The 17642-nt window shown below is 39.1% G+C and overlaps 1 protein-coding gene and 1 long non-coding RNA gene across 18 annotated transcripts in view, besides 3 other annotated features; one reads left to right on the top strand and one right to left on the bottom strand.

Moving 5' to 3' along the window:
* Window positions 1-1824, bottom strand: part of LOC105376076 (uncharacterized) — a 38952-nt gene extending 37128 nt beyond the window's left edge. For 2 of the 3 annotated variants that reach the window (XR_929910.3, XR_929908.2), the window contains exon 1: window positions 1446-1824. This is a non-coding gene — a long non-coding RNA (uncharacterized LOC105376076). The remainder of the gene's footprint in view (window positions 1-1445) is intronic. The other variant, XR_929909.3, reaches the window with a different exon arrangement.
* Window positions 31-886: an enhancer, noted in NCBI's record as "H3K27ac-H3K4me1 hESC enhancer chr9:72375949-72376804 (GRCh37/hg19 assembly coordinates)". NCBI's record gives its function as "activates a minimal SCP1, AML or CMV promoter by ChIP-STARR-seq in primed H9 embryonic stem cells {active_cell/tissue: H9 hESC(primed)}" and the evidence as "EXISTENCE:reporter gene assay evidence [ECO:0000049][PMID:30033119]".
* Window positions 1751-2220: a silencer, noted in NCBI's record as "silent region_19936". NCBI's record gives its function as "represses an Ori minimal core promoter by ATAC-STARR-seq in GM12878 lymphoblastoid cells {active_cell/tissue: GM12878}" and the evidence as "EXISTENCE:reporter gene assay evidence [ECO:0000049][PMID:35858748]".
* Window positions 1908-17642, top strand: part of PTAR1 (protein prenyltransferase alpha subunit repeat containing 1) — a 50487-nt gene continuing 34752 nt past the window's right edge. For 8 of the 15 annotated variants that reach the window (NR_159515.1, NR_159516.1, NR_159517.1 and 5 more), the window contains exon 1: window positions 1908-2066. Coding sequence is in view for 11 of the 15 variants with exons in the window: in NM_001366938.1 (NP_001353867.1) it covers window positions 1981-2066 (86 nt within the window). In the remaining 4 variants the exon portion in view is untranslated. Of the gene's footprint in view, window positions 2067-10968; window positions 11139-17642 lie in introns of those variants that run through there. The other 7 variants (NM_001366940.1, XM_005251980.6, NM_001366939.1 and 4 more) reach the window with 2 other exon arrangements.
* Window positions 2361-2410: an enhancer, noted in NCBI's record as "active region_28448". NCBI's record gives its function as "activates an Ori minimal core promoter by ATAC-STARR-seq in GM12878 lymphoblastoid cells {active_cell/tissue: GM12878}" and the evidence as "EXISTENCE:reporter gene assay evidence [ECO:0000049][PMID:35858748]".

The raw sequence follows: 17642 nt of genomic DNA, 5'->3' as shown, positions 1-17642 counted from the left end.
GCGATCTCCACTCACTGCAACCTCCTACTTCCGCGTTCAAGCGCTTCTCCTGCCTCAGCCTCCCAAGTAGCTGGGATTACAAGCACGTGCCACCACGCCCAGCTAATTTTATATTTTTAGTAGAGACGGCGTTTCACTGTCTTGGCCACGATGGTCTCGAACTCCTGACCTCGTGATCCTTCCGCCTCTGCCTCCCAAAGTGCTGGGATTACAGGTGTAAGCCACCGTGCCCGGTCCTATCTCACTTCTTTTACAACCAGAAGGCTAACTCCAGCCTTTATAAACATACCCACAGGAAATACTGGCCACTGAGTATAGTAAATTTATATTTTTCGTTTATATTTCTCATTCACTTTACATGCAATAGATAGCTTTTACTTTTACAATCATAAAAACTACTTCAAACGCTCCGCATATGTTCACATTAAACACACCATGAGTTTATTTTTTTAATAGCTTTTTAAAGATACAGATTTCTTTTTTTTTTTTTTTGAGACAGAGTCTCGCTCTGTCGCCCAGGCCGGACTGCGGACTGCAGTGGCGCAATCTCGGCTCACTGCAAGCTCCGCTTCCCGGGTTCACGCCATTCTCCTGCCTCAGCCTCCCGAGTAGCTGGGACTACAGGCGCCCGCCACCGCGCCCAGCTAATTTTTTGTATTTTTAGTAGAGACGGGGTTTCACCTTGTTAGCCAGGATGGTCTCGATCTCCTGACCTCATGATCCACCCGCCTCGGCCTCCCAAGGTGCTGGGATTACAGGCGTGAGCCACCGCGCCCGGCCTTTTTTTAAAGACGGAGTCTCGCTCTGTCGCCCAGGCTGGAGTGCAGTGGGGAGTAGCTGGGATTACAGGCGCCCGCCACCACGCCCGGCTTTTTTTTTTTTTTTTTTTTTTTTGTATTTTTAGTAGAGACGGGGTTTCACCGTGTTAGCCAGGATGGTCTCGATCTCCTGACCTTGTGATCCGCCCGCCTTGGCCCCCCAAAGTGCTGGGATTACAGGCGTGAGCCACCGCACCTGGCCAGATTTCAAGGGTGGAAGAATAAAACTGAACCAAGGGCAGCCAGATTTTTCTACCAGAGGTGCAAAAGAAAACCTGATACACAAAAATTTTAGTTATGGCATTTCAAAATCCTAAATAAACTAGAAAGCTCGTTTTTCCTACAAAAATTTATTTTTGCTATTATGAACAAACCCTGTCAGAGCCTTGATCCTTTTTTTTAAATTCCAAAATTGACGCAAAGGCTACCAAATGCAGTACAAAATGAAGTCGAAAAATCTAAAAACGATTTCACTTCTACTTCCTACATACAGATGGCAAATAACTTTTCCTTCACTTTCCTTTCTCTTCCTTTAATAAATTTAAGAATTTTAATTAATGTTTTTTAAAAAGGCTGCTTTCAAGTTCAGAGACAAAAATTGGCACAGTTAGAAAGGAGGTCACCAACACGGTCAAATAGGGACTCGCTCCGCCGCAATGCCTCTGGACCTCTTCATCTCTCAGGCTGGGAAAATAAAGCAGACAAGCTCTGAAAAACGCCCGGGACTAACTGTTAAGAGGCCCTGCATCCTCAGTTGAACATTCCTTCAGGAATGCCCGGGGACCTTGCTGGGGGGGTTCAGGAAGGTGTCTGACTCTCTGGGAGTGTGTCTTGAGGTTTCGCCTAAAACTTAAAATAAGAAAATCGGAGGCCTGAGAGAACTTTGCAAACAAATGTCCAGCATCTTCTCTGACGCTTAGAAAGTCCGTTACCCGCGCGGAGGCGAACTTCTCCACTCACTGGAAGGCCACCAACCCTAGCTAACGCCACGCCCAGGCCGCCAACTGGCTGACCCGGAAGTGCTCGGCGGCGGCCGCGGCGGCGGGGACGCGGCCTAGCCGAAGCACCCGCGCGCGCGCGCGCGCGCTCGTTCTCCGCGGAACTCCCGCCGGCGGCCCGGCTCACGCGGAGGCGCGCCCGAACTGTCGCGGCCGCCGCCAACATGGCCGAGACCAGCGAGGAGGTGGCGGTGCTGGTGCAGCGGGTTGTGAAGGACATCACTAACGCCTTCAGGAGGAACCCACACATGTGAGTCGCGCGCCTCCGCCGCCTCCGAGGGTCGTCGGGAGCGGGCGGGGGCGGGGCCAAGCGTCCACCCGACCTCGGGCGGCGGGCGGACAGCGGGTCCTGGCCCACGAGCCCTTCTAGGGAGGAGGCAGAGCCGTGTCGGGCGGGACCGTTGTCGGCCGCCGCTGGCCCGGCTTTCCGCTACCGGGACGCGCTCGCGGTCGAGTCCCTAGAAGTGACCTCAAAAAATCAAAACGGAACTACTTTCTCTGTCCCTCCCCACCTTTTCATAGGAGTTCACGAAACTCCAGAGACGTCCCCCGTAGGTCGACATCCTTCCTGTGTTTAAGGTACTCGGGCGCACACAACGATGTGGGTCCGTGTATGCCTTGTAAACACAACTCTTGAGATTCATCCCGGACGTTGGCAAGAGGGGGTAACCGATCCTCTTACTTTTAATGAGCCTCAAACCCCTCAGTTTACTAACTAAAGGTGGTTTGAGGCTGCTTTTGACTTTAGCCTTACTTGCCACAAAATTGTAAAGTGACTCCGATAATACATTGTGTTTTGAAAGGTGAACAGAACATTCTCAAGAGAAGCTTCTGTGGGCGCAGTGTGGAGTCTGGGATAAAGCAAATGAAACCTTGATACTTTTTAGCATAAGCGGATTCATAGTTACAAGGAGCATGTTAACTCATTTTTATCCCAACACTGCTGCCCTCTTTAACGGGACACTGCAGAACTGACATATGTATCTCTTCCATTTTACTTGAAGTACTGTGGGAAGATACCGCAAGAGTCTACTTTTTGTAACACTTTGCTTTTATGTAACAAGTGAAAAGAAAGCTATTGAGAGAGAGAGAGAGATCTACATTATACAAAGGTGTAGGGAAGAAGCAACAATGTACCTCCTTTCCCATACCTCTTCCTCCTCAAAGAAAAGAAACATGGCATCCAGTTCTGCATTACTTTCATTTTAGCTAGTTGTTTTTGGAGTTTATTTTTTTTTTTTTTAGTTTATTATTTTTTATTATTATTTAATTTATTTTTATTTTATTCTTTAGACTGGAGCTCATGATTTTTTTTTTTAAGTATTCTAACCGGTTCAGCTTTTCTGCCTAAAAAAGTTGCCAAACGTGTATCTTACCAAAGTGTTCTTTTCCTCCAAGGTGATGATTGTAAAACAGTTAAGAAGCCGTTGGATGTTTTGCTCCCTTGTGGCACACAATTGGAGACGTGCAACTGTGCCACATTAAAAACAAAACACTGCTGGCCTCAAAACACACCTGCCACCTCTGACAGCATCCACTTCCCTCCCCCTTATGACTGCTGCCTTTTTCAAAATGAGAGTGTTTGGAATGATTTCCTGGCAGTATCCATAGTGGTTGCTGAGCCTTCTAAAGAATGCTTTGATGCCTTGCTGTATATCAGTCTTTCGATTTCTTTTTGAGAATGGGAGCCTTAGTGCAAGTAAGAGACGACCTCAAAAAAAAAAAAAGTTGGACAAATGAAGAGTGTATTTTCTCATCACTGGTATTTTTCTAGAAGAAATTACAGCAGAGATTAGAAATCTAATACAAAATGTCGTAATCATCTTATGTTCTCTTCTTTGAGGTAGACTAAAAGAGCATCATTATATTTGAAGAAACCAAGATTGAATGTTCATTGGCTTGGCAGTTTTTAACACAGTGCAGTTTGGAACATGTCCCAGTTCTTGTGGATCACATTTATGGAAACTCTTAAAGGACTTTAATGCCCCTCCCTAATCCTTTTTCTACTGTAAAACCTCATTAATATATCCTCAATGTATAATTTATTAGTAATAAGGATTTGGGTCATTCGAGATTTAAAACTTTGAGATAAGTTGGATATTCGGAATAATGTAATGATTTGTAATATAGGTCTTAAACATTTAAATAGCTTAACTCATTGTTTAAGACTAGTCATCAGCTATATTTGAATACATATTCCCCACAGTAAAACTATTTTCAATAATATTACTATGCATCTTTGTAAGTGCCTTATAATTTGGGCTTTTAAAAATTGCCTGCGCTTTCTTCCCTTAATTTAGCCCATTTACTCCCAAAATAAAGAGGCTGTGTTTCTTTTTTTTTTTTTAAGGCATTGTTTATCTGTAACGTTTGTATCTAACTTTACTGTATCTAATTACACTTTCAGTATTATACAAAAATTTTTTTGTTTTTCTTGTCCAAACTTAAGATCGGTTGTAATTTTATTGGCCAACATCTACTTCATTAAATACATTGACTTTGTTTATGTAGAAATATTTAGCCAGAAGGAGTTGAGGATGCAGTGGTGAGATGTGGATTTTGTTACTGTATGATGTGAATAGGTACCTTCTCTCAGCCTCAGTTTCCTCTTGATCTTGTGAGGCTGATGAAAACAGGAAAATCACCTCACACAGTGGTACTTAGTTGCCACTCAATAAATATTAGACCTTCCCTGAATCTCTGTGTTCCTCACCAAAAATATATTGGACAAATGATTGGTGAATATGAAGCACTTTATAAACCTGGATAATACTATATAAATGCTGTTTGTATGGTTGAGTATTAGATAATCATATTGGATTCTCTAAAACTGAAAACTTGACCTAGGGATAGTCTTTAACTTAGTGTATGGACCCTGTGCTAATGTAGAAGACAACAGTTTATAATGTAAACAGTCACGTTAAAATTAATCTTATCCAGCAAGTTATTGTTTTTTCTATTAAATATTGAACTCACTGTTTATGAAGTGTTGTGGGTACCATCTTTACTGTGTGAAATAGAAGTTTAAAATACAGTTCTTGAACCCAAGGCACTAACAGAAATTTCTGTAATGGTGGAAATTTTCTGTGTCTGTGCTGTTCCATATGGTAGCCACTAGCCATAGTAGCTATTGAGCAATTGAAGTGTCCCTAATATGAACAGGGACCACATTTTAAATTTTATTTAATTTAAATGGATTTGTACGTAGTGGCTCCATGTGCCTAGTGACTACTGTGATGCATAGTGCAGGTGTAGATGAGACCTAAGACTAACTGCATGAACAGTAAATTAACCCTCCAAAGTAGTTTATAGTAAAAGTTGGATAGGAGCATGATGAGCAAGTGCTATGGGAGTCTAATAGAAGTGGAGAGGAGGCTGGTTATGTCTCGGATAGGGGTGCTAGTGGAGGTGGGTTTTAAGCCAAGTATTAAAGTCTGGGTAGGATTTGTAGTCTCAGAGGGAGCCAGAGACCTCCACAGGGAGCAGTGAATTGACCTAAACAAGCAAAGTGTGGCTGAGAAGGTACAGTAGGGCCAGATTATGGAGATCCTTGACTCTCATTTAATTTCTTTCATTCCATTCATACATTCTGCAAAAGAGTACCTCCATTTGACAGGCACAATGCTGGTCTCTGGGTATACAGGGTTAAAAACTGGGTGGTTTAATGAACAAACCACACATGGTCCCTATCCTAATGGAACTTTAATCAGTCAACATACAGATTATGAAAAGAGTCATAAAAAGTAAGAAGGGTACTTAGAATAAAAACAGGGAGACCCAATTTAGATTATAAGGTCAAGAGGTTCTTTCTGAGGCAATAGCATTTAAACTGAGTGAGACATGAGGGGTGAAGAAAAGCTGGCTCAAGGATGTACACTTCTAAGGCAATGGGTAGGCACCAGTGAACATTTTTTAGTAAAGAATGATGAAAGGCAATTTTAGATCGTCTGCAAGGTGAACTGAAGAATAGAAAGCCAGAGTCTACTGGGCTTCTTATACCTGATTTTTATTTATTTAAATAATAGTGTAGTATAGTTGTAAAAATTTGAGTTTAGAGTTTGATAGTCTAAGCTGTCAAACTGGATTTGAGTCTTTGCTTGTCGTTTATTAACTGAGTAGACTTAGACAAGACTCTTCCTCTGTAAAATGGGGTCAAAATTCCTACTTTATGAGATTATTGTGCAGAATAAAATATATGTAAAACCTAACCGTGCATGGCAAGTAACAATAAACACTAGTAATTTGTGTAGCTTTTTCTAAATAAGGTCAGTAATATAATTTCAGTGAAACATAAGTTGATAATCTTTGGAATTAATGAGAAAGCCTATAAGGTTTCTGAAATATCTAAATCACCAGGAGAATTTTAATTATCAATATGCAACGGTCAGTTCCTTTAGATATATTTTACTAGCTTTCCTTTTTGGTCATGCTGGAAAGAATTCCAGTTCTTTTGGGGGGTGGGAGCAGAACAAAATGAAAATAACTACTATTTAGATTTAAAATGTTTTTACCATTTCCTGAATCCTTGGACTGTTTTCTGTTTGGTTGCTCCACACTATAGGATTCAGTTTGAGTATTTGGGTACCATCCATCCCTCCCAGAAGGTAAGCTGGTTGATGCAACTTTTGTGGATAATAAGTGGCTCTGTTCTGGTTGATGGTGTTTCTGAGAAGTATAGACAGAGAAGCTGTCTAAACATAAGGAACAAAGTCAGTATCAGTGTTACATGAACTGTGAACATCATCTGGAAGCCAATGAATGGATCCCTATTGTGAAGTGAGGCGCTCAAAGAGATGTATCATACTTTGATCTTAAGTAAATGTGCTGGTTCGTTCCACATTGCTCTGCCTTTGGAGCAGTCTGTGATGAAGGTGACCTAAAAAGTGAGCACCATTAGAACTTGATTGCTGTCCCAAACCATCATATCTTTAAAAATCCTATGATCTTCTTAGTTATGCAGGTAATTGAATACCTTGTTAAATACCAGGAATGTAAATGGCCAGAAACCTAACAGTGTAAAAGAGTGAAATTTATTAGTAGTTCCTCTCATAAGACTATTTTGTAAAGAAATAACTAGAGATATGTTTGATATTTATAGCACATTCATTGCAACCATTAAAAATATCAAAATTGATTATGTGGGAAAATGTTTAATGGGAATTGCTCAGTTTTTTTCCATAAAGGATTATAGAATATGTTCAATATGATCCCACTTTTTGAAAATACTCAGGAAAAAAGGATGTATACCCAGCTGGGCACAGTGACTCACACCTGTAATCCTAACACTTTGGGAGGCTCAGTGGGAGGATCACTTGAGGCCAGGAGTTTGAGACCAGCCTGGTCAACATAGTGGGACTACATCTCTACCAAAAAAAAAAAATATATATATATATATTAGCTGGGCATGGTGGTGCATACCTGTAGTCCCAGCTACTCAGGAGATCTGAGGTGAGAGGATTTCTTGAGCCCAGGAGTTGGAGGCTGCAGTGAGTGAGGATTGCACCACTTCACTCCAGCCTGGACGACAGAGCAAGATCCTGTCTCAGGAAAAAAAAAAAAAAAAAAAAAAAGATATATACCCAAACATGTTAATAGCAAAACAGGGATTACAAGTGACTTTTAGGGTTTTTTTTGTTTTGTTTTGTTTTTCCTGAGTTTTCCAGTGTTTCTTTAGTATGGAATTAGAACTTAAATTTCCAGAAAAATAGAAGGAATTGATCTAAATCCTGTTTTGCTCTTTGTTCTAGTGTCAGGGGTTTGGGGCTAAGTATTAGGAGGCCCAGATTCTTAACTTAGCCACTAGCAATATGACCTTAGATAATCCTCATAAACCTCACTGTACCTCAGTTTCCTCATCAGATGAAATGACAGAGGAATGCAGTCCCTTCCAACTTTAAAATGATTTTGGAAGGAATCCTATTCGAAATTGGCTAGAAAAAAGTGGACTGTGACTTAAGGGATGAGACACAGAAGTCTGAAGTCAAACACACTATTATTTGGAAGCTTACTGACCTACCTATGTTTACAAAGTATGTGTAATGTTTTTTAGAAAGCAGCATAACACTGTGTCTTAGGGTCACATAACTTGACAAAGGCTTAAATTCTTTGCCTCGGCTTTCCATTATTAACCAATGAACTCTACTGGTGGATCTTTGTCTAGCACTTCATAGTTTGCCACATTTTCACATGACATTATTTGGTTTCCATAACAGGCAGGGAAGATACTATTCCTGTGTTTCAGATGAGGATACTGATGGCAAGTGACTTGCCGAATTCTCATTGCCTGTCAGTGGATAGAATGGAAACTAACTAGAACTCTGGACTTCCAATCAAGTACTTTTGTCTTTACACCCTACTACCTCTTCATGTGTTTTTCCCCCTAGTGCTCTACATTATCTGTTAAGACTGTTTTTATTCTCCTCACATGAAAATAGCTGCTAGGTTTCTCAGTCATAAAATTTGAAAGCTGGGTGAAATCTATCCCATTTGCCTTACTGGAGGTATAATACAATTCTACCATTTTACAAATGAGGAAACTGAAGTCTACAGAAGCCAAAATGACCTGATACTGATATGTATGTATATGTGTGTGTGTATATATCTATTTCCATCCAGGACTTGGACACATGCTGTTTTCAGTATACTTTATTAGGAGAAAATCAGAGATAATGTTCTTTTAGAGGGACAAGAAGTGAAAACTATTAATTTGAATATTATCACTAAAGTACCAGGATAATCAGCCTTTCAGGAAGCAGCTATTGGGCACCTGCTATATCCAAGCCATTCTTATTTTATAAAGTATTTCTTGAAAGAACAGACAGTCAAAGCAGTGTGTTTTTTAATTGTGCAGATGGCTCTTTTCTGTAGTTTAGATACCAAATTATTAGCTGGGCATTTTAATCCTAGTTTAATTAGTGAGCAAGACAGGTTTTTATATTGTGAATTTAAGTTTAAAAAAAAAATCCCCCCCAAAAACAAACCATACCCAGAAACAGGATTCTTTTATTCTTGTTACTATAACAGTTATATTGTTGACTCTTGCAGTTCTTTGAAGTGTTGTAAGTAGGTTATTATATCTCAGAGAACAGAATTTCCTGAAATAATCACATTGAGTTTATTTACTTATTTAGTTTTACTTTATTTTTTAATATTCTTCATGTAGTAAAACACAAACATCAGAAAATACCAGAGATTCAGTCATATATTAGTCAAGTATAGCTAGATATGGCTAGGGGTCATAATAATGAATTAGATAGATTTCAGGATACTACCAAATAGAGATGCACAAAATATATTTTGAAATACTGGGCATTGACCTCAGGTGCTCTTTCAGCTTTGTCCTTATTCTTCCTACAGGACTTTGTTTATATTATTGGAGTAGTAAAGTGGTAACATTTTATTATGGATATTGACACAGATCCCCAGCAAGACTTTAGCTCTTTGAAGTCTGAGACCACTTTGCTTTATTCTTTTTGAATTTTAGAACCTAAGAAAGCACCCAGTACATTGTAGTTAATCAGAAAACTTATGATAGTATTGATATAGTATATCAAAACACCTTTGAGTCAACGGAACCAATTGTAAGGATAAAAACCCATAGATCCCACAGTCTTCTTGAGAGTTAAATTAGCTTGAAAGAATTGTTAGTGTCTTGCAACCCCTAAGATATCCTTTTTATTGATAAATCCCTGTGCCACTAATGAAGTGATCAGTAGAAAGTAGATTACCTCTAAGCTATTCAGTTTAGTTTCCAGGAGGGGTTTTATTTTAAATCCACAGCCTCCTACCAATTTGTGATAGTGGCCCAACAAAAAGACAGGGTGTTTCTCCTACTTTGTAATTCAACCAATTTCCCTCTTTTGGGTCTATCAAACCACTGTGTTCTTGGTAAGGGGATGCCAGGGACATAATACATAATGTCACACACAAACTCTGAAAACCAGTTCATTATTCTGCTTTTTAAAGACATGTTTAAAATATCTATATAGACACTCTAAAAACATTTATTTCAACTACTCTTATTGTTAAAAAGTTTCTTGTTATTCATTAATTAAACAGAGGACATTCTGTTTGAGAAAGGATCCTTTGTGTAGGCAAGAATTATAACTTCCTTTAGAGTTGAAAGGCATGTGAATGTGTTTTGCACAAATTTTTTACGTTTGCTGGTTCATTTACTAAGTAAGTCAAATGCCCTACATATTGTTTATTAAATCTCTGCCTTTAATGTAAATTTTCAGCTTAAGTTGAGGTGGATTGAGGGATATAGATGCTACCACAGAGGAAAATTATTGAATTCTGAAATGTATTTTGTGTTTTAACATTTATTTGGGTGGTTTTTTAATTCAGGAAAATATAAAGAAGAAAAAATGGCCCAAAATCTCACTGATAAAATAACGTTTTTTGATACTTTGTTTCTGGTCCACATGCATTTATTAGCAAGCAAGCATAAACACATTTGTTGACATTAAAAAAATAGAAATACATACAATTATTAGATAATTGAAACTGTATAAAAATAAAATCCTTCCTTACCACCTTTCTCTCTCCAAAAATTTCTTGTTATCCTTCCAAGAAAATTTTTAATGCATCTATATATCTTCTAAAGAAATTATACAAAAGGATTTGTGCTGTACACTGTGTTCAGCATTTTGCTTTTTGTTTTCATTTCATATATCTTGGCAACTTTTTTTATGTCAGCATATGCAGATCTACCTCATTGTTTTTTAATGGCTTGATTATGTGGATGGGCCTTTTTTTTTTACTAGTCTTATATTGATAAACATTTAGATTGTTTCTAGTTTTGTTGCAACATTGCAGTGAACATCTGATTCACATATTTTGGCATAGGATAATTTCTGAGCAGTTGAATTGCTGGATCAAAGGGTATGTTCCTTCAAAATTTTGAAAGACTTTTTTTTAAGTTGCCATCCAAAGGCAAGACCAGTTTTCACTCCTGTCTACAGAGAGTACAGCATACTGGTTTTCTCATACTCTTGCCACTATTAGCATCTACCAATCCCAGTAAGTGAGCTAAATAATATTTGTAAGGAAGGGGGAAATATGTGGGGTTTTTAAAATACTCTGAAATTAGAAAAATGTTGAAAAGGTTAGTATCCTTATTTTTAATTCTTTTTTATGTTTTACATATTAAGAGATGAAATTGGCCTGATCCCATGTCCTGAAGCTAGGTATAACCGGAGTCCCATAGTCCTGGTTGAAAACAAACTGGGTGTGGAGAGCTGGTGTGTCAAGTTCCTTTTACCATATGTCCACAACAAGCTCCTTTTGTACAGAACAAGAAAGCAATGGCTGAACAGAGATGGTAAGTATGAATCATATTTTCTTCATTTGGTTTTTAGAAGCGACATGGAATATAGTAGGAAGAGCCCTTCTCTGAGTGTCAGCATTCCTGGATTCTAGTTCTGCTTCTTCTGTTCACTGTCTCGGTGGGTGCTAACCTTTCTGTCAAGTGAGTAGTTTCTACTCACCTGGACAAATTTTACAACCACAGTGATTATATAGAAGCCCTCAAGCAGAATTTCAGGGCACCTCCTGTAACCAGAGCAGTTCAGATTTTATCAGTTTATGTATTGGGGTCATTGGTAAGATTTCATTTGAAGGAAAAAAAAAAATCTGAATGTCACTGAAGAAGACTCTAGTCCCTATAGGCTCAGTCTCTGGTTTCTAATCCTTTAGTATTTTTATAGGCAGCAAAACTCATTTTCATAGTAGTCCAAATGAGATAATGTAGGCATGATAGTGGTAGTGATATTATGAACCAGCCCAGTGATTTATGGATGTGCCATTCCACTGCAAGTTCCAGTTGAGCTCTGGCCGTTTGTATCCTGTTCCTGTGCTGAAATGAGCAAAACAAAACTATCCGGCATTCACTTCTTCCATTTCTCTCAGACAGTTTTTTTTTTTACTGCATCAGACAATCCCTAATCATTCCATCTGGTCTCTTTTCTTGGTGTTCTGCCATATTAAGCCTCCATGTGCACAAATTCTGTTTATCATTGTATGCCCACCTCAGGTCTCACTTTTTGGGAGAAGACTAATTTAAGACCATGTCCTTTACTGTTTTTGTAAAGCTTCTTCCCCTTCCCATGTACGGCAGTACCTTCAAAAGCGCTCAATATGCCTGGAGGCTGATTTTGAATAAGAACTTTGTTTCCTAGAGAATTTTAGTTGCCAGTTTGGTAGCCATTACCAAGGGTCTACTCATACCAGATGCTGTCCTGAGTACTGTGGGGGATAAAAAGATGAATAAATACATGGTCCCTTTATTCAGGAAGCTTACAGTTGAGTGATAATCTCTTTGGGGGCGAGAGATGTACAGAAGAGTGTTGCCTAATGTATGACATACTGATTTCCTTGAATTTCTGTCAGCACTATCTGTAACATACTGTCATTAATTGGTTAATAACACTTTTCCCTTTTTATACCATAGAAAGGGACTCTGAAGGTTTAATGAGCAGTGTTTTCTATTTTCTGTGTGACTGTTTCACTCAGTCCTTTGTTATATATTTTCTTATTAGAAGGCTGTGCCTAAGTTTAGCCATAGCCCAAATTTATGGCATACACTTTAAGGCATGGGTTTAGGGATAAACTTAAAGGTAAGCAAGTTTATCTGTTGTTAGACCCTCTTTAATTCTGCATTCCATCACCGTGCTGTAGTTTTCAGTAACACTGAGGTAAAAAGTAACACCATATGACTCCATCAAGTTATTTTTTGCCAAACAAAGCTGTACTGTTTATATTCTGGTGCACAGAAATGCATAATCGAACCAATGTATAACTAACTTTAGTTAGGGGATAGAATGATTATCTTATAGAAAAGAAACTGAATTTTAAAAAGTGAGAGGCTATAGTTGCCCATTTATGTATGTTAGCTCAACCTACCCTTTCTGTGGTCTTCCAAGTCCTCTCCATTTCTCTGTTTTTGTCCTTCTGGACACTATTGCAGGCTTTGCTGTGTCTTCTTACCACATAGTTTTAGTTTTAGTAGGCTCATAAGGAACCTTGCGGAATATTAAATGGTTAAGCTCACTCACATGAATAGCTGGCATCTAAACTTTGAATTCAGCTGCAACCGTGCATGTGTACAAAAGCAGCTTTTGATTTGATCCTAACCTACATCCCCATGGAAGCAGTTTTTAATTTGACTATTTTGAGGGGGGTGGATAGCATAATTTAGTATGGTGTCACATACTACTCAGGTTATATATTGTATTATCAGTAAATATAAGAAAGTGAATTTTGGGTTTGACAGAAAAAGATATCTGAAAATAAAAGAGTATTCTGCCAAACCTAAGAACTGAAGCAATTAGAGCACAGAGGTGAATCTTGCTAAGAAAAACATGTCAAAAATGTTAGGAAAAAGCAGTTATTTCATGAAAATGCTACACCTTTAAAATTATTTGTTATAGAGAATATATATTTATAAGAAGACCCAAGTGAAGAAAGATGACAATTTAAGTGACAGTTTCTGAATGTCTGTCTGTGTGATCGATCATGCAAGAATCCTAGGCATCCACCTAAAAATGTATTCTGTAACTGAAGGTGACCTTTACTCCTGGGATAGATTTTTTCTTCCTAACCAAACTGAATTCTTGTTTTCATTAACCTGCTGAATTCCTTAGATGTTTAGGAATTATCCCTGTTTAGTTAGTTAGTTAGAGATTGATTTTTTTTTTTTTAAGTCTGTGATAGTAATACATTCGGTTTGGGAGAGGACTGATTCTGTAATTCTGATGTTTGAGAAATCCATAACAGATATAAGAAGCAGGAGGGAAGACCACAGCATTGGAGTTCTTTCTGGACAGAGCTCTCTGGTGCAACTCTTCAGGAGTGCCCTCCTGCCATCTTTTCTTGCTCCTCTCTCTTTTTCACAGCCCCCACTTAGTCTATATCTGAGCTCTCTCTTTAAAAGCTGTCTTCTGCTCTCCATTTCTTTGGCTGACCAGGCCTTCATTATTTCTCATCCAGACAAATGTTATTACCTCATAACCAGTCTACCCCTTTTCCAGGCTCTTTTGTGACCCATGTCCATTATGCCAGTAGCCAGTCATTTCAGACACGCTTGAACAGCATTTCTTAAAAACAGTTTGACCACGCTTTTCTGAAATACATTATATGCTCATCTTATTTCATGATACCCACAGGGTCAACGTAGAGTCGAAACTCCTTAGCATGGTATTCAAGGGCCTTCACAGTCTGTCCCCAGTTTTTCCTCCAGTTTATATTCAGCATCAGAGGTTGCAGATTCTTAGCACACAGGCTGAAGCTAATCTAGATACATTTTGGTGTGGCTTGTATAATGTCTTAAAAATTGCTTTTTATTAGTTGGATAAATCTGATTTCTGTCTTCACTTGAAAAATCATAAGGCTTGGTTGAGTATACAACTTTCTACCTGGCAATAGTTGGCTGGGACATACAGCCTCTACTCTTCGTAACTGGGCATGTCTGTTCCAGTTTATCACAGCCTTTTCAAGCTCTTGAGACACTGCGGCAGAGTGTTAGTTGATACTTCTTGTCAAATTTCCTTTGCTACTTTTTTGAGGTTCATTTGAACCCTAGAAACATTTATGTTAGCAGCTATTTGATACATATGTTCATTACAGCCACAAGCAGCATTCTTCCATTCTTTGACTCTGTGTGTACTACTGCCTTACTTCCATGCCTTTGCTGAGGCCAGGCTCATGTCTTAATGTTGGCATTATCAGTGTGGTTGCCAGCACATGCACGTGCATACACATACACACACTTAACACTGTGAAGCCTTTTTGACTGCTTCAGGAAGCAATAATTATTCCCTGCTCTTTTATGGAAGCCCTTTACTCAGATGGCTTGCATAATAGTATCACTTGTCACACTGTATTTTAGCTGATTAAACAACCTTTTTCCTGGCTGGAATGTGAGTTTATTAGGAAAAGGGATTGTGGATCATTTTTATTTACTCAGAACCTTTACATGTTCAACAGACATTTGTCAAACGAGTAACAAGAGTTTGTAAGCAAGAGTTTTTAGCTTAGTCTAGCTATTGATTCTGTGACTGTGTACTATAATAAACAAGGCCTCTCTGGTGTTTACCATATAGCTTTAACTCAAGCTTCACTTCTTGTGGTAACCTGAATGTATTTTGGAGGAAAAGAATTACTGATTTAAGTTGGCCTTGAATTTATTTCTAGATGCACGAAAACCTTTCTCTGTTAGAGACAGTTGTCAAATCCAGTGACCATTACCAGGTGACTACTGGCCTTGGGCCATTTCTAGAATGCAGTGCAGCAAGAAAAGCATATTGATTTTTCTCCAACTTCTGTAGCATCCTTTTATCTTCTCCTTGTTATAGCTGAAATTTAGCTACTTTTCTATGTATAATGTGCCCTGATTTCTTTTTCTCCCTGTGGCGTGATGATGGGTTAGTCATATATTGTAGTGTGTGTAACAAAGGAACATTTATTTGCTGGTATATGTTCTGTTGTTTGGAGAGAGACCTGTTTAATTTCAAGAGACTGTGGAGATTTCAGTAGCTCATGTCTTTTGGGTGAAACTGCAGAGGAAATGGCGTATTGTTGATGAAATTGAGAGAGTCAAATAGTTACAACCGTTGATTATACATGTTCTTTTTCAGGTCTTTGGTTCAGTCCTGACCTGCAGAAGGCAAAGTTATTGCCTGTAGTGTGGTAGAGTGAAAGAGCATCTGCTTTGCAGGACAGCAGACCTGGATTTAAACTGAACTTGTCAGCACACTGAAGTCACTTAGCAATGACTTAGCAAATTACTTAACCTCTTTCTTCCTATTTCCACACCAAAAGAAGGAAATACTAATCAAGACCTCAGAGGGTTGTTGTGAGGATCAGATTCTTTAATTATGTCTGATACTTCTAATCTAGTTTCTTCTCCTAGTCCTTTCTCATTTCTGTCATTGCACTTTACCCCTAGCTTCTTATATCAGACTGGAATATTTACTGAAGGAAGTCTTGTCTGAGCCTGAGTCCTGAATGAGGAAGTTTTAGCAGTTTGTGAAAGAGGAGAAGAGAAGGGCCTATGGTTGTATATGTTACTAGGTACCACCGATGGTGGTCAAGGCTGTTGATGTTTTAAATTCGAAGATTCTTAAAAGTCAAAAAGTATCCCTCTGCTCAGCAGTCACTGCTTAGCCAGCTTAGGAGGATCTTTTGCTCCCTCTGGAGGCATCCAGTCCCAATATCATTTGTGGAACTGGACTAGAAAATACAGGCTTTGTAACAGGAATTACCATTCAGTCCTTACTGTATGTCAGAGACTGTACTAACACTTCAAGGATTTAATCATCTAATATACCCATGATAGCTCCATCTTACATACGAGAAGGACATTAAGGCCTAGAGAGATTAAGTGATTTGCCCAAGAATTCCCAGTAAGTGATGGAGCTGGGCTCTGTCTGAACCCAGTAGCTGCTGTTGCTCTCTTAGGGAGAGACCTGCCAGTAGAGGAAGTGTTACTTTGATAAGTCTTCCTGTATCTTCACATAACCATAAAATGAAAAGCGGGGACTTAAGTACTTGCTGTGTTAGTTTTTGCCTTGTGCTGCTGTACAGAAGTCTCTCATGGAGGATGGACTTCTTGTCTTCACTTGTGATGGAGGGAGGAAGGAAATTGTGTTAGAAGTACAAACAAATAGCAGCTACCATTGGTCAGACACATTTTCTTTAATGTAGAAAGGGAGATTCCAAGGGACTATGCTAATTTACCTAGGTAGAATAATCACTTTTTAGAAAATTGTAGATGTCAAAAGAAATTCCAGAGGCTTTCCCATCATTTACAAACCTTTCCATGTAACTACTTGACTACAAAGGGGTTTTTTGTTATTGCTGCGTATTTTACAAGTTTGGAAATTTAGACAGTTTTACTAAAGGAACAACCTCCTCATTATTCCAGACTTCCTTACTTATGTTGAAAATACTCATTTCTTTGTCAGTCAGTGATGGCGTTTAATTGTACTCACTGTGTGTCAAAAAGCTGTGGAGAAATGGAATGAATTTCATTGCTCACAACACCATGAGGTTGATGTTTCACTGAGGTTTCACTGAGTGAGTCCTTGTTTCACTGAGGTTCCAAGAGGTTAGGTTATGTAGGTAGTAAGTGGAGAAGCTGGGATTCAAACCCAGGTAGTATGGCTTTAAGGAAGGCCTATCCTCTTACCACTCCTCTGTGCTGTGGTCAGACATGGAGCTGCTTTTGGCCAGGGACTGTGCTTACTCATCTTCAGCCAGCTCAGTACCTGGCTTATTGTAGATGCTTACAAAATTTGTTGAGTGAATGAATAATTTGAACATGTATTAGAGAGGACCTGCGTGCAAAAAATTTGTGGTCCAGTTAAGAGGACAATATTTATGTAAGTAACAAAAGTAAGATACGCATAAAACAGATGAGGCCAGGTGCAGTGGCTCACACCTGTAATGCCAGCACTTTGGGAGACTGAGGCGGGTGGATCACCTGAGCTCGGGAGTTCAAGACCACCCTGGGCAACATGGTGAAACACCGTCTCTACTAAAATACAAAAAATTATCTGGGCATGGTAGCACGCGCCTGTAGTCCCAGCTACTGGGGAGGCTGAGGCATGAGAATCGCTTGAGCCTAGGAGGCAGAGGTTGCAGTGAGCCAAGATTGTACCACTGCACTCCAACTTGTACTACAAAGTGAGCCTCCGTCTCAGAGAAAAAAAAAAAAAAGCAGAGATGAAAGATTTTTTTCCAACTAGGTAGGTTAGGAAAGCCTTTAAACTTTTTTTTTGTTAAATATTAGGAGACGGGAAGACATGAGCCAGAAAGAATAGCAAGC

This window comes from Homo sapiens, chromosome 9, assembly GCF_000001405.40.
Source record: "Homo sapiens chromosome 9, GRCh38.p14 Primary Assembly".
Classification (NCBI taxonomy): Eukaryota; Metazoa; Chordata; class Mammalia; order Primates; family Hominidae; genus Homo; species Homo sapiens.
This window is presented reverse-complemented; position numbering and strand designations above follow the sequence as displayed.